At 36.9% G+C, this 27,548-nt stretch overlaps 1 protein-coding gene and 1 pseudogene across 8 annotated transcripts in view; one reads left to right on the top strand and one right to left on the bottom strand.

Annotated features, from left to right (window-relative positions):
• Window positions 1-27,548, bottom strand: part of COL19A1 (collagen type XIX alpha 1 chain) — a 345,913-nt gene that overhangs the window by 102,899 nt on the left and 215,466 nt on the right. For all 8 annotated transcript variants that reach the window (NM_001858.6, XM_047418188.1, XM_011535437.3 and 5 more), the window contains one exon: window positions 7,348-7,401. In NM_001858.6, coding sequence (NP_001849.2) covers window positions 7,348-7,401 — 54 coding nt within the window. The remainder of the gene's footprint in view (window positions 1-7,347; window positions 7,402-27,548) is intronic.
• Window positions 10,888-11,181, top strand: RPL37P15 (ribosomal protein L37 pseudogene 15; annotated as a pseudogene).

The raw sequence follows: 27,548 nt of genomic DNA, 5'->3' as shown, positions 1-27,548 counted from the left end.
ACACACACACACACACACACACACACACTTACAAAACGGAGATGTAACTGGTTATTTCATGGCTACGTGTATCTCTCCACTTGCCCCCCAACCCTTCTTTTCCATTCTTATAAGGCCCTATATGATGAAGCCATTCAGCTCCCAAATCTTTTCTGGCACTATTCTTTTCTTAGCTCCTTTATGTTTATTGAATACATCAAGCTTTTCCCCACCTGAAGCTCTTTGCAAGTCCTGATATTTCTGTTTGGAAAGTTCTTGCTCTGGCCCTTACATGGCCAGCTCCTTCTCAAGGAATGTCTTCTGCTCAGAGACACCTCCCTGGACCACCTCAATTAGATGGTAATGAGAAGAACATCTCCTCCTTCCAAATCATTATCACATTACCCAGTTTATTCCCCCCATAGCACCTCACTCTAAACCGAAATTGTTTTGTCTATTTATTTAACTGCTTATTAACCATTGGTGTACTGCCTCACCACAGACAGTAAGTTATAAAGAAAGGTAGAGACCTTATCTGTAGTTTGTTGTTGCTTTGTGTTTTTAACCACTGTATATTCAATGTTTGTAATAGTGATTAACACATAGTAGATAGGCCATAAGTATTTGTTTAGTAAATAAATTAAATTTTACACCCTAAATTTACTCTTTTAATTGTGCAAACTGATGTATAATTGTAACTTTCAGGACTGTGCAATGATTCATGCTTTAAAGGTAGAAGAAGTTCTACACTGAAGTTAAAATTAAAATAGAAACATGAATGTACATGTTTCAAATCAGACTTGTTTTAGAAAAGAAGCATATGTTTTGTTGGAGTAAGCTCCCAAAAATTAATGCTGCAGAGTTTTATTGGTATTGTACAATAGAAGGGCATTTTAGAGATCCATGAAGTAGGTATGGATTTTTACCTCAAAAGAGCATCAAGTTGACATTGAAAATGACTGCTGATGAAATAGCACTTATATTTAAATTTCAAGGTAAGCATAAATGTAACAAAATCCTGAAAATAATTTTTTAAAAATCATATGGATTTATAAGCTTCAAACATCGAAAAATTTCCATTCCTCTGACATCCTTCAAAGAGCTATTGTCATTCTTTGACTAGAGCTTTTCCTATGGAAACAGTAGATGGAGCTGTTGCCCCATGTTACAAAATTTTTTGAATTTCTGTTTTCAACTGAAATTGCTATGCACACAAATGTGACAAATGGAGCCCACTGCTCAATTCTCATACTGCAATAATGAAACAATGCATAAAAACAATACCAGAAGAAAAAAAGAAAGAAAATAAAAAGTCTTGCCTGTAGCAGAAGAAATAATAACACAATTTTAAATTAGTGTGGTTTTTAATAAACGCTTTTTCCAGTAATGATGAATGAGAAGTAAAGTTAATGTCAAATGGATGGGCTAATACCTACTTCCTTTAATGGCTCATTAGTTAAATTCTCCTACTTTCTCTCCTGCTCCGCCTCATTTCCAGCTGCTTTCCTCTCTTTTCTAAAGGAACTGAAAACCAGAATACTTTGAAATAAACAAAGGCATTCCAAGTCTTGAGACTTTCCAAGTCTCATTATCATAACATAAGTCTATTACTTTCCACTGCTTATGCTACTCAGATAACTGGAAGGTTTTTAAAAAAGACAAGCTTTTATTGGAGTGTGAGGAAGGACAGTTGAGACTTAGAGAACATCACAACTAATAAAATGCAACAGCTCAGATGGTAAAGGAACAAGCCCCACAAGCAAGGAAGAGGCTGTAAATCTCGGGAGAAAAAACATCACTGACTCTTTAGACCTGGTTGTTATTGTTACCTAATTGGGAATAACTTTTGGATCTCTTCATGACGTATCTAGAATAAGTGTGACATATGCAAAGTGATCTTTTATTTCAGCAATTCATTGATAGACATTCAAATTTCTGTTAACTAGATTTTTGGAGAACTGTAAAGAGAGAAAAGAAGTGTTGGTTTAATTACTGATTGAAGACAATCTCTTCTCTCTACAGTGTGAATGGGTGTTCAGAATAATAACAGTGGAACTAAGATACATTTAGATAGAGCTTTACATTTAGAAGAAAGTTCTTTCATATCAATGACATTGGGCTCTTGTAGCCACTGTGGGAAAAAGTAGGTGGGGTAGGTGCTATTATTTCAAATTTACAGAAAAGAAAATGGAGACAAGGAAACATTAAGAAAATTGTTCCAGGACAAGCTAGTGAGGAGAAGGACTAAGTTCCTCACCGCCATCCTATGCTATCCTATACCATCTCGCTGTCTGGAGTCAGGATAGTGCCATTGATTGCAACGGAAAACTCAAACATTGTTCTAGGTATGATGTTTGAGGAAGAATAATCTTAGTTGAACTGTAAACTAGAAGCTTGTCTTTCACACCTGAAGTCTGGCAGAATAAAGGTTTAGGGATCAGTTCCTGTGTTTCAGTTCTGTCTTCACTGCTTGTGTCATCTTGGGTAAGTTACTTGACATTTCCAAGTATCATTTACCCCATTATAAAATGAAGATAATTTCTACTTTTCAAGATAGTTGTAAGGATTCCCTAAGACACTGGAAATACAGTACTTAATGCAGAGCTCGTGATGGTAATACATTCTCCTGGTCTGCTTCATCCCTCTTTCCTCTGAACCTGTTTCCTCAGGAGTTAGTGCTATTTCCTTCCCGAGGGAGATGCTTAGCCCTCTCATACTGAAAAACTGTTCTCAGTCGTAATCTTTATGTATTGAAATAAATCCAAGAGATCTCTATGTAATAGTTTCCCTCCAATGAAGAATATTCGCTTAGGACAAGATAGCAGAAGTTACATGGGACACTTTGGGAGCTTTTTCCTTTGTATAGGTAAGATCAGCTCTGGTTTTTAACAAGGAATTGGACAAATACTTTACAAAAATACATTGTAGCTAGCTCTGTTAACCAGGTTAGTCACTGTTCAATGACAAGCACTCTGATTAAGAATAGTTTCATTATATGCATATTGCATGTGTATAAATTTCAAATAAGTCCTAAAGACACAAAAAGTTGCTATTGAATAATAGTTAAGCTAAATTGGAGTGATATACATGACTTTCCATGAAACACTGATTCACAAAGATAATTTAATAATGTTAGTTTAATAAAACTAGTGTTAGTAAATTTTCCATTATTAGAAATCTTTTTTCCCTAGGAGATATAATGTCTCAGGGGACAAAACGTTGTCCTCTTACACACACACACACACACACACACACACACACGCACACACTTAGCTATTTGTCAGAAATTATTTTGGTAAACAAGTTGTCCTTTTGGTACAAACATTTTGTAAGAAACTGAGAATATACTAATTTGGCTTCAGAACAAATAATCAAGTAGAAGGACTGGTTAAAACACTTTATTTGAATTGCTTCAGGCCATTGGGGACTTAGAGTCCCTTCAATTCAAGATTTTTAAAGTCTTCACTGACACTCCCCCGAATAACAACACTATGTTTGATTTCAGAAACATCTTAAACCCCCAAAGGGAAGAACATTTTCTTATAAAGTATGCTGTTATTAAAAAAATAAAAAAATCATGCCTCCTGGTAATTCCTATTCCTTTGTTCTTTGCAGACAATCATGCTGACTAGAATAAAGTCTCCCTCCAACTTTCCTAAAGACTAATTGCTCAAACATAATGTTTAAATGATATAAAATATTCACTTATTTGAGGGATATTACATAGTATTTAATTACTGTTTGACAAGAGACAAAATTAAAATTTTTTAAAAAATACATTTCACATTTTCATAAGATATTCTAACACATGCTTCAGGATTCTCACATACTGGCCACTGGGGCGAGGTATATACTAACTCCAGTAACAATTAGAAAAACTGTAGATCCTACCAACCCGTCTCTTGTTCTCTTCTTGACTTCCTTCTTGCTATAAAGTAAGATGCATGTCATAAAGGGTTCAATGTTGGAAAAGAAATATAAATGAAAAACAATAATGTTTTGATCTAAAAATGTCCACAATTAAGGGGGAACATCTCTTAAGCTATTTGTAAATTGTAATAAAATACAAATAGCTCCCTGGGAAATCCTAAGAGATAACAAGTGCTCTGCTGATACTTTAAAAATAGTGAATACTGGCCAGGCACGGTGGCTCACACCTGTAATCCCAGCACTTTGGGAGGCTGAGGCGAGTGGATCACGAGGTCAAGAGATCGAGACCATCCTGGCCAACATGGTAAAACCCTGTCTCTACTAAAAATACAAAAATTGGCTGGGCGTGGTGGTGCGCAGCTGTAGTCCCAGCTACTCGGGAGGCTGAGGCTGGAGAATTGCTTGAATCTGGGAGGCAGAGGGTGCAGTGAGCCGAGATCATGCCACCAAAGTAAACACTTTGTCTTCTGCATAGATTTTTTCCTAATTTTTCTAACAAATTGGGTATTTTATTATATTTAAAAAGTTAATAAACCATTTTTTTCAAATATTATGTTCCCAGGATTTAATGAACACTGTGTGTCAGACCCATAGCTGAGTTTAAGTTCTAAATCTATATTTGAAATAAAAATAAGCACCTCTCTCCCCCAAACACTCTGGCAACAAACTAAAGTCTGCGGAATTGAATATTATAAATCCTATCATACAGTCACATGTTTTTTAATCTTCTGAATTCTTCAGTAAACTCATTTGATCTATAGTTGAGAACTCATTCCAGAATTCGGTGTAATCCTCTTCTCTCCTACACATTTGGCAAGCTTGTCATAAAGGCCTTCAACATTCAAATTCCTCCTTTGAGACAACAATTAGCCTGTCTTAAAAGCAGCATCATAGGTTTAGAAAACTACACGAAGGTCTAATCTTGCCTGTTAGCATTCACCAGCTTTTCTTCTTTAAAGCATGAAACAATTATTTTAAAGATCTTACAATGTGTTCTCTGTTTTGCCTAAAACTTTGAAATAAAAATCAACAAAACTGATGCCTTTAAAAGACTAGATTCTAGCATACTGATATGGTTTGGCTCTGCGTCCCCAACCAAATCTCATGTTAAATTGTAGTCTTCAGTGCTGGGGGAGGAACCTGGTGGGAGGTGATTGGGTCAAGAGGGTGGTTTCTAATGGTTTAGCACTATCCCCCTAGTGCTGTCTTGTGAGTGAGTTCTCACGAGATTAGGTTGCTTAAAAGTGCACTTCCCGCTTCACACTCGCTCTTTCCTGCTGCCATGTGAAGATGTGCTTGCTTCCCCTTCTCCCTTCTGCCATGACTGTAAGTTTCCTGAGACCTTCCCAGTCATGCCTCCTGAACAACCTGTGGAACTGTGAGTCAATTAAGCCTCTTTTCTTTATAAGTTACCCAGTCTCAGGTAGTTCTTCATAGCAGTATGAGAATGGACTAATGCAGACACCCAGCTCATGCTTCCTCACCCCCTCATTCCCCCAATGTGCTTTTATATAACAAATATCAATTGGCACCAATGCATTGTTAATAGGACAATCCACTAGAATGGCTAAAGTGAAATGAAATCAATGACAGGACAGCAATCATGTTCATTTTTGGCAGGTGAGCACATCCTAAGAGATTCCTAGGGTACTGGGTTGAGGCCCTCTAGTGGTGGTGCAGGGTGTTTTTGGTCTTTAGGTCACTTACCTGGTTTTAATTTTTTCGTCTACAAAATATATTCATTTGTTACTCAGTCATTAAATAAACAATAATCACATGCTATAGGCTAGAGACTGTTCTAAGCAATGGTGAGAAAATAGAGGTTCAAAAAAGTCACAGTGCAGTGGTCAGACAGATGAGGAAAATAAGAGTCCAAAGTAACATGCCGTGTCTGTCCGAGGTGTAAGATACAGGACCATGGGAGGAAACCTCAAATGCTGAGAGCACTGGCAAAGCTTCTATAGGAGAAATGTTTGAGCTGAGTCATGAAGATAGAGAGAAGCATATATAGGCCTACTGGAGAACATTTGCAAGTGATGGCATTTTTGAAATAGTAAGCGAAGATTACTGATTACAAAAGAAGGAAGGGCATAGAGGAGGATAGGCCAAGGCAGGTAAAAGGCAAACCATGAAGGGCCCAGAATGGCATGTAGAGGATGTGGAATCCATCTTTCTTGAAGAAAAAAGAAGCGATTGAGGAATTTAAAATCAAATAGTTTTAAGCTTTTAGAGAATTTTAAGCCATCCAAGCCCACCTAGATGCTGTCATGATTTAGAGGTTTTGCTCCACTTGGAGAAGGTAGAGGCAATGAGACCAGCTCTCAGATGACTTCAAAAATATAGGTTCAAATTGACAGAGGTCTAAACTAAGGCCGTTGACAGTGAAGACGGAGAGGATTTGTGGGCTACTGGGATGTAGAACTGATATGATTTAGAGACTGTTTAGATGAAGAGGATGAAGAACAAAAAAATCTAGGATTATTTTTAGAGATTAGTTTTGGACATTATACTTTTGTGGTAGCTAGGAGACTTCCAAGTGGAGATACTAAAAAATAAAGGAATGTACCAGCCTGGGACTCAGCAACAATGTCTGGGTTGAAATAAAAAACTGGCATTCATTAATCCATCCAACATGTAGGGGGTAGAAGAAAAGCTGTTAATGGAGACAAAAAGATGGCCCCAGGCATAGGAGAAAAAAACCCAATGTTGCTAAACCAACAGAATAGGGAGTTTCAAGGAGAGAGCAGTCAATAGTATACATTTCTGTGTAGCAGTAAAGTAAGAAGAAGCCTGAAAAGTGCTCAGGGAATCTGCAATGCAGAGATTGTTGGTGACCACAGAGAGTGCAGTGTCAGTGGAGCAGCTTGGACACAAACCAGACTCTCATAGGCTGCAGAGTTACCAGAACTACAAGAAATTGAATATTTTTTTTTTCTAGAAGCTTGGGGTAAAGGATCCAGATAAGCTAACTGGTTAGATGATCTTTATAGCACTTTTTACCAAATCATGAAATTATACTAACAAAATAGTTTCATATCAAGAAAAGTGGATATGCTTCCCCAGATGTCTGATTTTCTAACAGCCTGGATGTTAAGAAATCTAGAAGATGGTGTTCAGGTAGGTTCAGAACAGGATTCATCTATCTGGACACTTGGCTTGGGATGTTCAAGCAGACACTACTGTTATTGCCATTTGTGTAATAAAGAAGTGGGTGAGGTGTATGGACAATTACCAGCCTCCCTCATCTCTTGGTTTGTGGTGATGATGGAGTTAGGAATATAGAGAGTATGAACTACTCATCCAAATGCTGAAACCAGTCATTCTAAACAGTAGAATAAAGGAAATCATTATCTACAGGGGAGTAAAATAATCCTTAGGTAAACACACAGACATAAAGACAGACTCTTTAAAGGGACAGTCATTGTATTGTTTACTCACAGGTGGTCCTGGGGGTCCTGGTTTTCCGGGAGGTCCTGTTTTCCCTCGTCTTCCCTTGAAACCAAAGAAGAATAGATGATAAATACTGTGACTCCATTATATTTTAATATCAAACAATATTAAATGGGAATATTGAAGACAGTAAAAATGAACAGAAAGTTAAGAAACAATTCCAATTCCACATGACTTTTAAATATCAATTTTAAAAGCTGTGGGCCAATTTTTAAGGACCATAATGAGAAGTATAGTACCTGAAATGAATAAACCTTAACTTTTATCAGCAGCCCTTTAAATGCTATCTACCTTGGTTCTTTAGCAAAGTAATATAAAGTATATGAAAGATGGTCTAAGATGGGTATTTTATCTGATGATTCTGTGGTTTCGGATGCAATAACAAGTACATCTGTCATCTTATGTTGGTGTTGTCCAAGAGGGGTCTGAATTCTAATTTTGTATGAGTTATTTGAGGGTGAGTTTGGGTGTTAAACATGCATATTCCTGGACTTCATCCTAGAATTCACGGTTTAGAATCCCGGGGGTCGGAGCCACGAATCTGCATTTTTAAAACTACTTCAGATAATTTTTATGCTCACTAAAATTTGGAAAGCACTGCCCTAAGCCCTATTGTAATTACATATACTGAATGAAGCACATTAGCTCTTTTCTTCCCTTTAGATGGTTAAGCTGTTTTTATAAGTGAAGTAAAATGTATAATTCTTGCATGTTAATCTTCATGATTACAACCAAATATTAACTCTCCCAAGTTCACAACTAGCTAAATTCCAATCGCAAGATGTTGTGCTAACCTCTCTAAGTACCCGTGAATCTAATAACATTTAAAAAGCATTTCATTATTTATTATAAAATTATTTTCTTAAACATTTTTTATTTTTTAAATTTTTAAAAGAGGGAAGTGAGCTTAGGTATTGAAAGCATACATTTTGAATGAGAAGCATTTATGAGCATATGTTTTCTAAATATGGTCACTCTATTTCATTGTTACTAACAATTCTATTTGATTATCACATTGGTAAACTGTCTGTACATATTAAGCCTTATTGATACTTATAAAGTAAAGATATTAGGTTGATCTTTTCAATGCTTTTTTGGGGGAGAATTATAAGTGTAGGCACAGAAAGGCCCATTTTATTCACCAATTTTCTTGCTCTGAAAATGTCAGGCAAAGTTGCCTGATTCCTCTGATTTTCATCTAGTCTTGAAGTGGGGTAGGAGGTCTAAATGCCAGTTGAAACAGTAGAGTAAGTTTTCAGAGATAAACAAGCAAATACAATGCTGGGATTGGATGAGAAATGTGTCCATTGTTCCTGAAGGGAAATTAGGTGATACCATCAAAGACTTTATATGAAAACAGCAGCCTTTTCTATAAATAGCCCTAGTTAACATCTACAGAACAGATTTAAAATTTTTTAAAAATTAAAAACATAGGCTAGGCATGGTGGCTCACAACTGTAATCCCAGCACTTTGGGAGGCCGAGGCAGGCGGATCACCTGAGGTCAGGCCAACATGGAGAAACCTCATTTCTACTAAAAATACAAAAAAAATTAGCCAGGCATGGTGGTATGTGCCTGTAATCCCAGCCACTCTGGAGGCAGAATTGCTTGAACACGGGAGAATTGCACTCCAGCCTGGGAGACAGAGACTCTGTCTCAAAAAAAAAAAAAAAAAAAATTAAAAACACAAATATAATTATTAATAGTAGTGTTTTCTCTTATCTTTCATTTTATAGATCTAAACCATGCAGTTCTTTTGGAGGATTGTAAGATTGAAATGAACATATAATTTAATATTCTCTATACTTAAAACAAGTTATACACATGTACACCATGTTCTAGTCTTGCAGTTTACATTTTCTGAAAATCAGTATATTTGGTCTTTTAGTAAATATAAGTAAATTCGCCTCTGAGGACTAATCAATGATAAAAAGTTTACTTAGAAAGTGGAAACACTGTAATTTATTAATTCACAACAACACAAAGAAACTAAATCAATGGTATCTAGGTAAGTGATTGGTTCTTTCCTTAAGCATACATTAGGTTGAGGTAAGTTAAAACCATAGGATCAACTTTAGTTTACATTCCCCTTTCTTCAAAGGAGTCATGTATATTGATTTGGGCAGGAAGCGGGGAAAATGAAGCTGACTGTTGATTAACTTTTATCGCAGAGTTAATGTTGAAACAAACCAAATGTCAGATATTGTAACATAACATTGGCATGTGTTAAGATGAGGAGTAAAAAGCATCCAAGATTCAGGATATGGTGAGGGCAAGCATCCAGATTCCTGCACTTCACTGCTGATTTCAGCCAGCCTTGCCATTGTCAGAGTGTCAGAGTGTCAGTGTGCATGCTGGAAGAGGGCAGAGAGAAGGCTGATTTTGCCGAGTGGACATGCAGGTAAAATATTTTTGGGGGTTGCTAAGTAATTGGAACATATTGTGTGCACACAACTTTGGCCAGCACATATTTTCACATTAAATGTAGTTTCTAGGCTTGAATTTCTATTAGCACCTTAAATCAGATTTGAACAATTTTTAAAGATGTGCTATACAAAGCAGTGCAGTTACCTTTTTGTTAGGCTTACCACCAAATACATACAGGTTGATTATCATCTGTCCCAAAGTGCTTGGAACCAGAAGTGTTTTGTAATTTTTTTTTTGTTTTGGAATATTTGCATATACATAATGATATATCTTGGGGATGGGCCCCAAGTCTAAACATAAAATTCATTTATGTTTCATATATACCTTATCCACATAGTCTGAAAGTAATTTTATGCACTATTTTAAATAATTTTGTGCATAAAACAAAATTGTGACTGTGTTTTGGCTGCAACCTGTCATGTGAGGTCAGGTGTAGAATTTTCCACTTGTGGTGCCATGTTGTTGCTCAAAAAGTTTTGGATTTTGGAGCATTTCAGATTTCGAATTTTCAGATTAGGGATGCTCAATCTGTACTAGAAACAAGATTCACCTTAGGAAAAACTCTTGAGACTTAAGTCTCAAGTATCAGTGACTTGTGGAGGATAGAGGAGAGGGGTGGATGGATGAGAAATGTGGGTGGAAGCTTTAGAGCATAACAGAGCTATGGGTCCAGGCAGGGCACAATCTCTTTTTTTCTCAATTTTTTTTTTTTTTTTTTTTTTTTTTTAGAGACAGGGTCTCACTATGTTGCCCAGGCTGGTCTCGAACTCCTGGACTGAAGTGATTCTCCGGCTCTGGCCTCCTCCCAAAGTGTTGGGATTACAGGTGTGAGCCATGGCACCTTTCTTAGGGGCTGCAATTTCTATCAACACAATAGTCCATGCCTACTCCCAGACATCATTGTTCTTCTCTCCAAGGACCCCTAGGAATTAACTCCCTTGTCTTGTTTCCCTCCTTCAAGGCCCCAAGCTGCACCGAATACAGCCGCACTGTCTCCTGTTCCTCTGAAGGATCATCTATCTTCTACTTAAAAGCATTAGGGAAAGGCAAAAGCCTACCTAAGAGCTAACAACACTCTTTGGTCTTGGCCACAGAAGCAAGATACTGAAGGGAACGCCATCGTTTGAAAAGTGTTGCAGTAAGACGCACACATTGTGCCACCACTGTGGCTCTAAGGCCTGCCACCTTCAGAAGTCATCCTGTGGCAAATGTGGCTACCCTGCTAAGTGCAAGAGGAAGTATAACTGAAGTGCCAAGGCTTAAAGATGAAATAATACCAGGACTGGTCGAATGAGGCACCTGAATATTGTATACCGCAGATTCAGGCGTGGATTCTGAGAAGGAACAACATCTAAACCCAAGAGGGCAGCTGTTGTAGCATCCAGTTTATCTTAAGAATTTCAATGATTAGTCACACAATAAATGTTCTGTTTTTTAAAAAAGGAGCTAACTGTAGATTTTTGGTAGGGTGAATTTTACTCCTTAAGCTAGGATACTTTGGGGGAGTATTTTATTAATAATTAGGCCAAGAAAAAAGGCATAAACCACAACTCCCTTCCTAGGACTAAAATCAGATTCCCCCACTTTTCAGAGGAAAGTCTAATCTGTGAATCTTTGTTATTTTCTTTGCAGGGCTCTGGGGAAGTGGTTGAGGATAGCTGGGGCCAGGGCCTGCGGCGGTTGGTAGTAGGTACAGGAAGAAGGCTCCTGATGCCAATGGGAGGAATGTTTGCATGTTTGCTTTCACTTCTATCTCTGGCTGTTTTGGTCCATTCATTACAAGGCTCTCTCTAGACCCAAAAGTGAGACAAAAGGTGGGGACTTGGGTGTGGGTGGAGTGAAAATCCTGGAGATAAGTCAGATATCTGCTGAGCCGGAATAAGTCTTCCTGGTTAGGGTGGCTATTCTCAGGTGGCCATTTGTTCAGAAGCAACTCTGATAAATTAGTGTTTGGGTGAACTTTCAGATGGATAGAGATCTAGTGTTCCAGCATTATTATAACTGGGCTAATCCAACATTTTCCTGAAAACTGTGGTATAAAGAGCAAAACACAGATTTACTCTATTAAGTTGCCCTGGAAACCTGAAAGTGCTCAATATGTCAGTTTTCTGTTTGGCAACAGTGTGGAGATTATTAGACAATAATTTAGATATCTGCCTAATGATCTAAACCCAGGAGGGCTCAAACCTGAGCATGCATGAGTGTCACCTGGAGGGCTGTTTTAAAATAGATTGCTGAGCCTCACTCGCAGAATTTTTTTTTTTTTGAGACAGGATCCATGCTGGTCTCAAACAATCCTCCTCAGGATCAAGAAGTGGAAGTAACCCAAATGTCCATGAATGGATGAATGGATAAACAAAATGTGGTACAAACATACAGTGGAATATTTTCAGCCTTAAAAAGGAAGACAATCCTGGCCCATGCAACAGCATGGATGAACCTCAAGGACATTATACTAAGTAAAATAAATCAGTCATAGGAAACCTCAGGAGGATCATTTGAGCCCAGGAGTTCAAGACCAGCATGGATCCTGTCTCAATAAAAAATAGCTTTAAAAAGCTCTTTTTTTTAACTTGATGCTTCCAGGATGACTTGCAGTGTGAGAGAACATTTATCTTAAATTAGACTTTTGATTTATAAACACCTGGCCCTCTTAGGAGTACTAAAAAGGGAAGAATACAAATAATAGACTATTGGTACTTATTTGACAGATGGTTTTTGTTGTTGATGAGGATGATGATGATGAAGTTAGAGCAGTAATTGGACTTAAAGGATGATATGCAGACCCCAAACCCACAAATGAAACATGTATTTAAGTACTTTCTCTAAACTGTCAGGTCACGGTAATAGAGCTAGCCCCTCTTCTGAGTAGCTGGGATTACAGGTGTGTGCCACCTGCTTGGCTGTTCAGAGTTCTGGATTCAGTAGGTCTGGGGTGAGATCTGAGAATCTGCATTTCTACCAAGTTTGCAGTAATGCTGATGCTGCTGGTCTGGGGACCATGTTATGAGAACCACTACTCTAAAACTAAAGCTGTTATTTCATATTTAAAGTCAGGCAATCCTGTAGAGCACCTTATATCTTGCAGCTCAGAACAAAAGAATTCAATTTGTTTTGTGATTATGTGGAACTTTGAGAATAAAATGCTCATTGTCAAGTTCAAGAGCACCTGGACTGGAAAATCCCTGTGCCCCATTTTTTCTCTTATAGAATCCTTTTGTGCTAAGATTTCATTGATGTAAAATGGTACTTATACTTTGCAACAACTTTGTTAAAGGAATAAAAAGATCACTGGTAAAATTCCTACTGCATACACCCAGTAGGATGGCTACTATCAACAAATCTGAAAACAAGTGTTGGTGAGGACATGGAGAAATTGGAACACTTGTGCAAGGTTGATGGGATTGTAAAATTGTAATCCTAGCACTTTGGGAGGCCGAGGAGGGTGGATTGCCTGAGGCCAGAAGTTTGAGACCAGCCTGGGCACCATGGCAAAACCCCGTTTCTAAAAAAAAAAAAATACAAAAATTAGCTGGGCATGGTGGCATATGGCATATGCCTGTAGTCCCAACTACTGAGGAGGCTGAGGTGGGAGGATCACTCCAGCCCAGGAGGTGGAGGGCGCAGTAAGCTGAGAAGGCACCACTGCACTCATGCCTGGGTGACAGAGTGAGACCCTCTCTCAAAAAAAAAAAAAAATAGAGTTACCGTATGATCTAGCAATCCCATTTCTGGTTATATACTCCAACAATTGGAAACAGTTTTAAGAAAAGATATTTGCATACCCATGTTCATAGCAGTATTATTCTCAATAGACAAGAGGTGGAACTAACCCAAATGTCAACCAATGGATGAATGGATAAATAAAATGTTGTACAAACATACAATGGAATATTTTCAGCCTTAAAAGGGAAGAAAATCCTGTCACATGCAACAACATGGAGGAACCTTGAGGACATTATACTAAGTGAAATAAACCAGTCACAGAAAACCAAATACTCTATGATTCCATTTATATGAAGTATCTAAAGAAGCCAAATTCATAGGACAGAAAATAGAATGGGGGTTACCAGTGACTGAAGAAAAGGAAGAGGAAAAAAAAGGAGTTGTTTAATGTTTATAGAGTTTCAGTTTTGCACGATGAAAATGTTCTGGAGATCTGTTTCACAACAATGTGAATATACTTGACACTACTGAAGTGTATACTTAAAAGTGGTAAGGATGGTACATTTTATGTTATATATTTTTTACCACAATTCAAAAGAAAACAACTATTTTTACCAAAATGTCCAGTACATGGTAGTTCTAATAAATATTAGTTCCTTTCCTCATTGCCCTTCTACTACCCTCTCTCCAATTCTCCATTTTTATATAAAAATGTTAGATAATGTCTCTAGGAAAACCTCCAAAATATGTAGTGTGCATCCTTTAGAAAAGTGTAATCACCTTTTAACTGTGGATATGAGTTTTTTAAAAAATCTAAAATAACAATCAAGATACCCATTAGAGGTAGAAATAAAAAAAATGTGGTTTATTCATACAATGGAAAAGTATATATTTGATAGCAATGAAAATGAATGAAATTGAACTACATGCAACAATATAAATGTTTCTCATAAACATAATGTTGATCAAATCATACAAAGAACAAAATGGGCAAACCTAATCTATCCTATTAGAAGTTATAACGGGTTACCCATGTGAGAGTGGAAAGTGACTGAAAGAAAGCATGAGAGGAGTTTCTTGGGGTGATGATGTTCTGTTGCTTGGACTATGTGGTGGTTGCATAAGTATGTCCATTTTATAAAAAAGCATCAAGCTGTACCCTTATGACATTCACATTTTTCTTAATGTATGTTAAATTTCAATATAACTTTTAAAAATGAAGCCAGGAGATTCCCACAATGGAATGATTTTATTTGAATGATCTAAAGCTTGATTCCACTTGCATTTTCTGTGCACAAGGACACAGAGGGTCACTATTAACAGCAAGAAAAAAAGATACAAGGCTATTTAAATCAATGACATCTACAAATTTTCAACAGTAAAAATAACCTAATGCTTCCAGGATGACTTGCAGTGTCAGAGAACGTGTATCTTAAATTAGACACTTGATTTATAAACATTTGGCCCTCTTAGAAGCATTAAGAAGAGAAGAATGCAAATAATGGACTATTGGTATTCATTTGACAGATGGTTTTTATTGTTGATGAGGATGATGATGAAGAAGATGAGGTTACAGCAGTAATTGGACTTAAGGGATGGCACACAGACCCCAAACCCACAAAATGAAACCTGTGTCTAAGTACTCTCTTTAAACTGGCAGGTCACGGTAATTCAGCTGACTTCTCTCTAACATTCCCCTGTTTCCATATGTGTATTTTGCACACTGTTAGGCATCAGCTCAGCCTGAACAAGGTATTAAGGAAATGTTAGGAAAGAGGAGACAGGGCCTTGACTGGCACACACAACTGTGAATGAGGTGTTAATTACACAGGAAAACATTACAGACTATCTGGGAAGTTTAGTTTTCTTTTTTAACTTCATGAAAGGAAATAAGATTTATGCCTGATGTAAAGAATTACATTTTGAACTCAATGATATGTGTAAAAATGAGAATGGAATACTTACTGAGGAAGACATAATATGTTAAGTACATTTTATTTCTTAATAGATATTTTAAAATGTATCTATGACAGTAACAACACTAGTCATAAAGGTCTCATTACTTCAGGGATCTGACAAGTGACTCTCGTAAGGACATGAGAAGAAAATGCAATTCAGCATGAACAAATGACTTGAAATAGGTTCAGAGCTAAGGAAAGATGAACATTATTGAGGCTGGGATCTTAACATTTTTAAATTACTTCATTCCAGTATTTACTCATCTCTCTGCCCCTTTCCTTTTATCCCCCCTTAGATGGACTCTATCTGTAACTAATGTGGCTTTTCAAAACAAGTTAGAAGTTGTGACATCATTATCTAAACCTCTTGAGCTACAGTTCAATAAATGATAATCTGAATAAATGATTCATTAAAACATTAAAACAGGATTAACGTTTCCTTGATGTGAGTATCCCGATCATTCACAATTTAGGTTATTTTGCTGTTATAATTTTTGAGCTTCTCTTCTTCTCACTACCAAGTCAGATTTTGTAAATGTCCCATTTACTTGCTGCTTTTCCCTTTGGAACGTGGATCTTCCTAGTTCTCCTCTGCTTGCCTGATTTCTGCTTGCCCTCACGTCTCTCTACCCTGATTCTGAGGCCAACCCAAACCTTCCATTTAGATTTGTTGGAATGCCTAACTGCCTTGCCACACCACCAACTCTCTAAGGCCCAACTTCTGGCTCTGTTTTCTAGGCCTGTCATTGCCAATATTTGCCAAGCCACTTCATTGGTCTAGTATCATGGATGGGGCAGTGGTAGGGTATGGCTAAACAATTTCCTGAATATACTGTGATGTATTTTAACATCTTGGTGCCACATGAAGCTGGTGGAAGCTGAAAGCTCATTGTGAAAACGTTCTTTCCTCCATATTTGGATGTTCACAGGCAGCACACTCCCATACTGGAGAAGGGGAATTTGGCCTTTATATACATTGCCTTCCTGTCTGAGAATTATGCTGCCAGGCTTCCACATCTCTAAAACATTCCACTTTCACAATGCCTCATGAATGAAGACTTTTCTCCTTCACTTTTATTATGGGAACTGTTATGTTTGTAGGTTTAGAGTCAACAAAATTGACATGCAGAGGGACAAATAATGCATATAAAATGATAAGTCTTATTTAATAGAAATGTTAAAATAAAAACAGTGTAGTGAAGTTCATCTACAAACTTCAGACAGGTCAGAGGCTAAGCCCGTGAAACAGGAACAAGCTCAGCATCACCAGTGAGCATTGGAACAAATAATCATTAGTAATATTTGGATATCTTGATTTCAATTAAGGTAAAGTGACAGGACATAGTTTCAGTATTTCTGAGTTACATAATCTAAAAGATATACTCAAGGGGTAGAATTTTAGAGCTACATATTCAGTGTCCAGGATTGAATTGACTAGTACAAAATAAGTTCACAGAACTACATTTTGCAGTCATTCAATAACTGTCTGACAAATGAAGAGAACTCTAGAGGATCAGTGAGGTGGAACTATAAAGGTCACCCAATTTTGAAATGGAAAAATTTTCCTTATGTAATTCTCTATTAATTGAAGTGAATTTAATGGATTAAATTGCATTTTGATACTTAAGTGCTGATTTCAGAAAAAAACCCTATCAAAAAGATGTGAGTAAGTTTTATTTGGCAGAAATTTACTGTCTGTTTTACCTGCTGTGTTGGGGAAAATATATTAAGATGATTAAGACCTAGAGCTTGCCTTCATGGTGGAAGAGAAGGGACAATTATTTGCAACAGGCATTTAGACAGACTTGTTCATTTGGTTATAGATGACCTCAGCACTCCAGTTTCCCTCTGGAGTGGAGGGATCATGGGGATAGGAGGAAAATGTGGGTAGAAAAAGTCATTTACATAACCTCAGCAACAACCTGGGACATTATATCCCCTGAAAAGTCCTCAAACAGGGACAGCTTTCCCTGGATGCACCTGCGGTAACCTGTCTTAGACGTGTGTGCGCTCTTCGGTTCTCTTCTCTTCTGATACTTATCCCCAGGCTTTAGATCAAGTGTGTTCAGACGGCATTTCCCAGCTCACCACTTCTTTTTCTTGCATGATTGATTTAAATATTTGGAAAATGTATCGATGACCTTTAAAAACTGAACACTTGGGACATACTATTGTACAAAACCGAGAGTATTTTTCTTTATTTGAATACTACTTTTCGCTTCCTTAAACTTAACATCCAATGTCACCTGAAGCTGTAACTGGGTAAAAGTAATTTGAAGTCTGTGCTTTACAATTTACCTTCCCTCAGCTCCCATCAGATCCAACATTTCCCAAAGTAAGGTTAGGGTTTCCTGGGAAAGCTGGTGACCCAGTTGGTCCTGCCGGCAGCAATTGTTGGTCAGTCGCCAGATTCTTTTTATGTTCTTTGACTTTTTCTCTGTTCACCTCTAGGGAAGTATCCTAAAGGCAGAAACCCTAAATACATCTTGTTCCCCTCATTCCTGCTACATCTAGTACATATGCATTTACATTTACAAAACTCACATAACCAACTCAGCTTTCTCAACTACATAAAATTTCCATTATGACTTTTAAACTCTATTTGTTCACCTGCTGGCTTTTCGCTGTGTTTTTATAAGATATTTTCCCCACTTTCAGCTGGCATGTGCCCAGAATTGTTCATAAATTAATTTAAGAAGTATTTACGAAGTCCCTATTGTGGGTTAGATGCTTTACCATGCTCTGGAAATACCTTGAATTCTGTCTCAATAGAGCTTATATACCAGTGGGGACAATAATAGTAATAGATGCCAAATATCATTCAAAGAAACTTACACATATTTATTCATTTAATCCTCAAAATATATTTGAGGTATTCCCATTTTAAGGGTGAGGCAAATTAGTGACAACATAACTTGCCCAAGGTTATGGGGCCAGTAAACACCAGAGTTAAGACTCGAATCCAGGCAACTTGGCTGTATCATCTCTGACCATTACCACTAGGCTATACTTATTGCATCTCTAAGAACTAAATAAATAAAGATACGAATTTTGGATAGTGATAGGAAATACAGAAAAATAAAGCAGGGTAAGGCAGTACAGAGTTATACAGGAAGGTGTGCTGTTTTAGATAGAAAAATCAGGGAAGCCCTCAGCAGAAATGTGAACAAAGTGAGTCCAAGGATCATGCAAGGTCTGAGAAAGAGCATCCAGGTGCATCCAGGGAAAGCTGTCCAGTAGAGGGAACAGCAAGAACAAATTCTTCAAGGAATAGAAAGAAACACAGGTTGCTAGAGAAGAGCAAGTGTGTGGTTGGGTGGCAGGCAGGCCAGATTAGGCTGGGCCTTGTAGATTATGGTGAGTGCTCTGAGTTTCATTACTGTGATTGTGATGTGAAGCCGTTAGGAGTTTCGTCTTAAAAAGGTCATATTATATAGGTTGGTATAAGCACCTGCTTAGGTAGATAATAGGCCAGAAGGTAAAATTGCCACCAAATTCATCATTTAATACAGAAGCTCAATAGAACTAATTTTAGGTTATCTGTTTTAGATTGCTTATAACACTTCCTTACAGGTGTGTAGAGTCGATTATATGTACAGTCATCTCTTGGTATCTGTGGGAGATTTGTTCCAGATCCCCACTGTCCAATACCAAAATTCATAGCCATTCAAGTATCTTATATAAAATGGTATAGAATCTGCATATAAGCTACACACACCCTCTCATATACATTAAATCATCTTTAGATTACTTATAATACGTACAATGAAAATGCCATGTAAATAGTTGTTATATTGTAATGTTTGGGGAATAATGACCAAAAAAATGTCTGTACATGTTCAGTAAGATGTAACCATATTTTCTTTTCAAATATTTTCAATCCATGGTTGGTTGAATCCACGGATGTAAAACCCACAGATACAAACAGCTGACCGTATAACATTTCCATTTCCATTTCCATGTGCAAATCTTTTTTTTTTTTGAGATAAGAGTCTTGCTCTGTCACCCAGGCTGAAGTAAAGTGGTGTGATCATTGCTCACAGCAGCCTCAACCTCGTGGGCTTAAGTATCCTCCTGCCTCAGCCTCCCAAGTAGCTGGGACTACAGGTATGTGCCACCATACTTAGCAAATTGTTAATTTTTTTGTAGAGATGGGTGTCTCTATGTTGCCCAGGCTAAAAAATATTTTTAATCTTACATTAACATTTTATGTAACTGAATATAGTATCTATTATTCTCTGATATTTACCCAGCCCATTGTTTTTGACTGGAAAAAAAGATATACAGTATAAGGAAGTGAGATCTATTTCATCCTTCATTATAAACTATAGTTTTGAAAACAGAGAAAGCTGCATTGTGTAAGTAGTCCTACAAGACTTATAAAAGGATATTAATAATTTAATGAACTTGTACTCAAGGGAGAAAAGTGTTCTTGAAACATGTCAGGATGAATTTTCAAGGGAAAGGCCTAATTAGCAGTGTCTGAAGCATATGTCATCACATTTAGAAAACACAAACCAGTCCCTGTGGACAGAATGGTAAGTTGGATTTTGAAGCATTAACTACTCCAGTTAATATGTATGATTAATGAGCAATATGTCAGTTGGCTGGCCTAACTCAAGTGAAAGACCTTGCAGGAGAAACAAGGATGTTTAAACTCATCCACAGAAATATGCAAATGTAGTTTATTGTCTCATTTATATTTTGATCAACCAATAACTTAGAGATCTTATGGGAAATAATGCCATAGTTTGGGCATCTTTTAAAATATAGAATCAAAGCTACAAAGATGCCCTAAAAAATACATGCCTAACTGTCCCATTGACTTTGCAAATGAGAGCCTTGAGGGGTTAATGAAAGAAAAAAAGCCCTTATCTTGGATCATGGCTGACAAACCAACAACTGAGAAAAAACTATACATTTAAGTAAAGTTATATTGATCTTTTTCTTACACATAATAAAGTATTTTTACCAGATGATTATTTGGAAAAAGTCAAATTGAAGAAATATGATTTAAATCCATTCAAAAGAGAAAACACATGTAGGTGAAATCTATTTGATGTCAAGATCTCCAGAGGCAAAGAGAAAAATCCAGTCACTTGTCTATGGGATTCAAACATAAAATTACATGGCAATATTCATACGTTCATTTAGATGTTTGAGCTCCTGAAGACAGACCCTTAATTTAAATCTTTCAAAAATCAACAATAACTAAAACTACAGGAGCTAATGTTGGAAACAATCGAAGTTACAGATTTTTTACTACTTTAATGAGAAATCAACTGCCACTTAGGAACACAAATGAATGGGAAAAATAAAGACAGTCTTGTATCAATGATAAGCATTTGTATATTTATTAAGTGTTTATTATATGCTGGATGTTGGAGAGTAAAGAGAAAAATTATACACAGATCTTGCCCTCGAGGAGCTCATAGTCTGGTATTAGAATATTTCTCTTCTTTCCTCAATATAAGTTTTGTTCTGCACAAAAAAATAAGGCTATTTAAATAGATCCACAAAAGAGAATAGTAGTTCACCAGTATTTTCAAGAATTATAAGTCTGCATTAAACGTGGACATAGTGGCTTTGGATGATTGGAGCAGCAATATTTCTATTTTGGCATACTTTCAATACTTGTTACCCATAGTCATGCTTTATATTTTAGAAGGGTGTATATTATATTGAGGTGATACAGATTCTAACTCATATATTTATGACACAAATTGATCATTGACTTAAAAAACAGGATAGAAAAAAAATGTGCATTGTATGAGAAGCCAGATACCTGACCACTAGTACATCCTCTTTCATTTATTAATTAAGTGAATCTGAAAAAGTCACATAATCTCTCAGCCTGAGCAATTTCTACCTTAGGGAAAAAAAAGGAATAAAAACATACCTGCCTAAAGATAGTGGGCTAGAATATATGAAGATCTGAGAGGCATTTAAGAGAAATATATACATTTGAAAGGGGCTTTCTATGATCTTTTCCTCATGATTAGACTATAAATTCTGGAGGGCAGGTATGGTAGCTGCCACGGAATGAACTCTCTGTGAAAGGTCTACCCATTCTTCTGTGCAGAAGGTCCCAAGCATTCCCAGAGGAATTAAACTGCCTAGGGGCACGTAGAAGGTGGCTGAACACATTCAGATGTAGAGCCAGTGATCAATTACATTCTTGGCAAATATCTAAGAAAAATATACCCCAAATCCTCAGTTTGAAATTTAATGTTATTGAGGCCAACCTACTGGCCTGAAATAAAACCTTACATAGCATGTGCTCTCTAGTGCCGACACTAGTGTGTCATCATGGATAACTTATGGGATAGATGTGTCACAGAAATGTTTTTCAAATTGTGGCAACATATAGTCACCAGTTTTCTTGCTTTCTTCCCCTGGTAGCACTGGTAAGAACTGGCAGTGTGGCGATCCTTACCATTGCTGGCGAGGTTAGAATTGAAGTTTTCAGACTTGAATAGCATTTGACCTAAGGAGTCAGTATCTATAGCTTTGGCCTCTGTTTCTAAATGAAATGAACAGTCTAGATTTTACAACAGACAAATGAGGGCCCTTACTCAGAGTAAAAGCTGAACTCCTTATAATGAATGACCTGCAAGGCTGTGCTCTGCCTTTCCGTGTGGACTCTCTGACCTCCTCTCATCTTCCTTCACCATTCTAGCCATACCGACCTCCTAAAGTTCCTTGAAATTTCTGCCTCAGACCTTTGCACCTGCTGCTTCCCCTACCTAGAAAGAGCTTCCCTCAGCTTTTCACATGGCCCTCATCTATTTTAGATCTTTGCTCCACGGTCAGCTTGGCAGCAAGGCTTTCTCTGACTTCCACACAACACTGCATATCCCCTTCCTCTGCTTTCTTAATCTTGGTTGCATGTATCACCATCAACCACACTAAAACTTATTTATTTTGTGGCCATCTGTCTCCATAATAGAATGTAAGTTCCATGAGGGCAGAGGTTTTTGACTATTTTAGGTGTTACTAAACTTTTCCTGTGAAAAGTAAGAAATATTTAAAGTAAATATTTTAGGCTTTGTGAGACATATAGTCTTTGTCACAACTACTCAACTCTGCTATTGTAAGCACCCAAAGGCAATATGTAAGCAAATGGGCATGAATGTGTTCCAATAAAACTTTATTTAAAAAAAAACACATGGTACACCAGATTTGGCCCAAGGGCTGTAGTCTGCTGATTCCCAGTCTATTGTGTCCATTGGTTTATCCTCTGCCTACAGCAGTTTCTGGCAAACAATAGGTGCTCAATAAATATTTGTTCTTGTTTTTGGACTGAGCTAACAATGAAAATGGAAGTAAACGTAACTTTTTGAAAGGTACTAGACAAATGAGGAGTTTGTACTAATGAGAAAAAGTGTGATCGCATTCATTACTATACTTTGAGATGAGCATCGACATCAAAACCATGAAACTAATTATGCCTTGAAAGTTCTTTAAGATCTGGTGATGTTTTTGTTTTTATTTTTGTTTTTGCTGTAGATAACATGAGATAAAACCTTTGTAAAAAATTTGAAATTATTTTGTTGAGATAGTTTTAAAATGCAGATATGTAAAAAGAGTAACATAACAAATGATTATTTTCCCACAGCACAGCATTAACAACTAGTAACAGTTTGAGATATTTTCTTCAAGAATTTTTTAATCAACAAAATATCATAGATTAAATGGAAATACTTTTTGACCATCTGTAGTCCTTTTTCCCTCACCTTCCTCTTGGGATAACTACTCTCACGAGTTTACATTATCTTTCTGTTTCATGTACTCTTAAAAAAGAAATATATGTACTTATGTATTTTTTCTTGTATTCAATATTATTGTTTTTAAGATTTATCCTTGGTGTGTGTGTGTCAGGGGGGTGGGGCAGGGGTGTGTATAGTTTGTTATATTTAACTGCTGTGAATGCTGAATTCTGTTGTGGATAGGTAACATTTCCAAATGGAAATATTTCTAGAGTAGTAAAATATAGAAATACGAAAAGTATAGGGCCATTTATTATATTATAGGGCAAAGCCTCAATTAGTTTTTGAGGTTGTGTATACTGGGGTCTAGTGTTGCTCAAGTCTTTCACCCCAGAAAAGAACTAACCATCCAAGGAATCTAGCAGTTTAACATCATTTTATTTTTCTCTGATAGAAAAACCTTATCCCGCAAATATCAGTTCAGTTATTAATATATGGTGAGTGTTGCAATAGCATAACTCACTTTCAGCATTTCAATTTATCCAGCTGAATTTCAAAATACAAATTGGGTATCATATGGGACTTTTCTCTAATAGCACAATAACAATTTTTAAATGGAGTTTAAGATGTAAACTGAGCAAGCTGAAGTTAAATTTGGGTCTAGTGATCCAGGTACCAGTTTCTTAGAGCTTTGAAATAAGAGTATACGTTTTCAAGAGGTTAGATATATGGTGACCTTAAAAAAGCCTTCTGACATATTCCATAACATCAAGGAATGGAAGGAAAAAGAATAAAGAATCCTTATGAAACATCTGCAGTCCACAAAACATTTCAAATAGTACCATGTCAACCTATGTTATAAATAGTTTATTCCTGATATTCGGCTGGTTTTACAAGCATCTATGTGATGACAAAGAGAAAAAAATTCAAAACTGTTCTAGAATATCATTAGAAGTACAAACACTTTAAAGAAACCAGTTGTAGTAAAAGTTTATTTATTCAGCACTTTACTAAATGGAAAAGTCTACTAACTGGCACTTCCAAGCTTCTGTAGGACAGTGCTAACTGGCTTAATGACTCAGGAGACAGAGCTCCATTTAGCAGATACAGTGCTTTCCCTATTAGCTGCAGCTCTACACTGAGGTACAGTGTTAGTAGTTAGCAGGGCACAGGCTGGATTTCACCCCCAAACACCCACTGGCTAGTCACACTTCTTCCTGGGCAACTGTGCTAGCAACAAATCCAGAAAAGTCTTCGGATTCCAAAAGAAACACTAAATCTTTTCCATGGTTTTAGTGCTAGAGGATTTTATTATGTTCAAATACTTAGAAATTAATATTATAACTATGATATAATAATTAGCAATTATTGAATACCTAGCATGTGATAGGCCCTGTATTGGCTACTTTACACATATATTTTTCTAATCATCAACTTCGGGTTAGGTACCATTAGTATTATTTCGGTTGTATAACTGAAGAACTGAGACTCAGAGAGGCTAAGTAGTATTCCCTGGGTCACACAGGCAGGGCTCACCCAGGAGTTTGCAAGACTCCAGAATTAATGCCTTTTGAGATTTTACTTTGGTGAGGTTATACAGAGGGTTACATTTTATTAATAAAAATTTCAAGGAACCAGATATACATCAGAGGCATAAACTAATCAAACAACAAACAGCCCTCCTTATAGAGGTAAGGTCTGTGGGTTGGTTGGCTTCACCAAAGCCACTCTACAGCAGAGGGAGCATCTCTACCCACCACCTAATATTCATCTGCACAAGCTGTACATCTGGAAGAGAAGGAAAATCAAAGTGATTAGTAGGGGAATGAATCAAGGCAGCCTCCAGACAGAAAACGGGCTGAGCAGAGGAAAATAGGCAGAGAAACTTCTGTGTCAGTATCAGGCTTCTCTCTGACGACACTGATTTTCCTCTACATTGGTTAAACCATTTTGTATATTCTATTGTATTCTGGCCATTTGTTAATATTTCAAAGAAAATCTGATTGTCACCCACTAAGTTGATTTCTGACTTGCTCATGGATCACAACTCATGGGTTGAAAAATATGGCTATTGAGGGAGCAGAATTCGGCCATAGACTTGAACATGACTACCAATTTCTGGCTTTGTGACTCTGAACAAGTCATATTAACTTCTTTAAATCTCAGCATCCTCGTGCCAGTCAACATTAAGTCTAAACTCGATCCTAAAGTTAGTTATCTTCACCAACCGTTACCTGGATTATCTTATCTTAAATGGTTTCTGCTTGTTTGGCTGTCCACATACCTAAATCTATCAAATAACTGTCCTTTTTGTTAAACTTGAGGGTGTTTTAGCTATAAGTGGTCATATAATAGATTATCTGTTTAAATCTTTGTGTAAAAGGGATCTTCCAATTTTAAAAAGGTAAGTTGGACTATTCTTCACAAATTGTCCATTAACTTCATTTTATCTTTTTTCCGGGGGGAAAAAAGGTTGAAAGAGTTGAGGGAGGAAACTGCTCTTTCCTCTTATAATACTTTTTCAGAAATTCTATTTATATAATCAGTTTTAGCCCTACTGGTTGTCTTGCCCTGCATATGGACTCCAGCAGAACTAGTCCAGGTAGCCAGGAATAAAACAGAACAGACAGTGAAACATGTTATCCTTGCTTTATATAGAATATGGCTGCCTGGGTTCTAAGTCCTGGTAACATATGTTGCATAGCTGAGAATTCATTGTATATTTTGCTGGTTAATTTTCAGAATTGACCTGGCTAAGTGCACATTTCTCTTAATTATTACAAGGCTAAACTGTTTTAAAAAGCTTAACTAATCATACTTCAGTAAAATGAATTCCTTCTGCTGGTGATAAAGTTTTTGTTGTTTCAGTTTTAGCCTATAATCAATGCAACCTACTAAATCAGCACTTCTCTAATTCTATGGGAAAGGACTGGTTTTTAAAATATCCAATCTGTCATGAATCAGTACTTTTATAAAACATAACAAAGCTGAATTGCTAGAAAAAAATGAAATAAACACATATGAAGTATAAATTCCAGTGTATATTACTGAATTCAACAAACAAAAAATTATGCCTTAAAAATAAAATTTTTAAAAATTAGGGAAAAATGAAAAAAATTACAAAACTGTACACTTTATTTAAAGTGTGTATAAGGCACATAAAGATTCCCTATGGCACTCATTAACTTTTTATCATTTTGTAATTACAATGAAACAAAAAATCATGAGTGAAATAGTGATTTCCCATACAAAGTACCTATATGCACTCTTTGAAGAAATAAACACTATTATATAGTTTTTAATGTAAGACATGATCCTGCTTTTTGCTTGTTAACATATCTACTTCAAGTTGAATTGACATTTCTTATAGGGCAGGGGTCCCCAACCCCCAGGCCCCAGGCTGGTACCGGTCTGTGGACTGTTAGGAACCGGGCTGCACAGCAGGAGGTGAGTGGCGGGCGAGCATTACCGCATGAACTCTGCCTCCTGTCACATCAGTGGGGGCATTAGATTCTCATAGGAGTATGAACCCTATTGTGAACCACTCATGGCGAAGAATCTAGGCTACACGCTCCTTATGAGAATCAAACTAGACCTGATGATTGAGGTGGAACAGTTTCACCCTGAAACCCTATCTTCAACCCCAGTCCTTGAAAAATCTTCCAGAAAACCCATCCCTGGTGCCAAAAAAGGTTGGGGATCATTGTTTTAGAGGATAACTTTTATCTAAGTGCTTCATTGGCTGGGCGTGGTGGCTCACACCTGTAATCCCAGCACTTTGGGAGGCCAAGGCAGATGGATCACCTGAGGTCAGGAGTTCGAGACCGGCCAGGCCAACATGGTGAAACCCGTCTCTACTAAAAATACAAAATTAGCCAGGTGTGGTGGCACACACCTCTAGTCCCAGCTACTTGGGAGGCTGAGACAGGAGAATCGCTTGAACCCGGGAGGTGGAGGTTGCAGTGAGCCAAGATCGCACCACTGCACTCCAGCCTGGGGAAGACAGAGTGAGACTCTGTCTCAGAAATTAATTAATTAATTAAAAAAGTGCTTCATTATTTTGTTTTAATGACATTAAGATAGAAATCATTTTAACAAAGATATTTTGAAGGAAATGGAAGAAGAAATTTTGAAGTAATTTTAGACTCTCAGAATATTATTTACAACTTTTATTTAAAAATGGAGCAAGTGATGCTGTATTTTGAAAATTAATCTTCAATTCTTCATCAGTAGTCAGTTAAAGCAAATCACCCTATAAATTATTTATTAAAGTTAAACAACCTCTCAATGAAATAAATAAATTCAACATTCTAGAATTCCTATATATGCATCTTCTTTTGGTGGAAAATAAAATTTGAAATGTTTTATCAAACTTGTTAAATATTTGAAGATAACTTTTCACTGATGTAGAATATCAAGAACATCACTT

Source organism: Homo sapiens, chromosome 6 (assembly GCF_000001405.40).
Source record: "Homo sapiens chromosome 6, GRCh38.p14 Primary Assembly".
NCBI lineage: Eukaryota > Metazoa > Chordata > Mammalia > Primates > Hominidae > Homo > Homo sapiens.
This window is presented reverse-complemented; position numbering and strand designations above follow the sequence as displayed.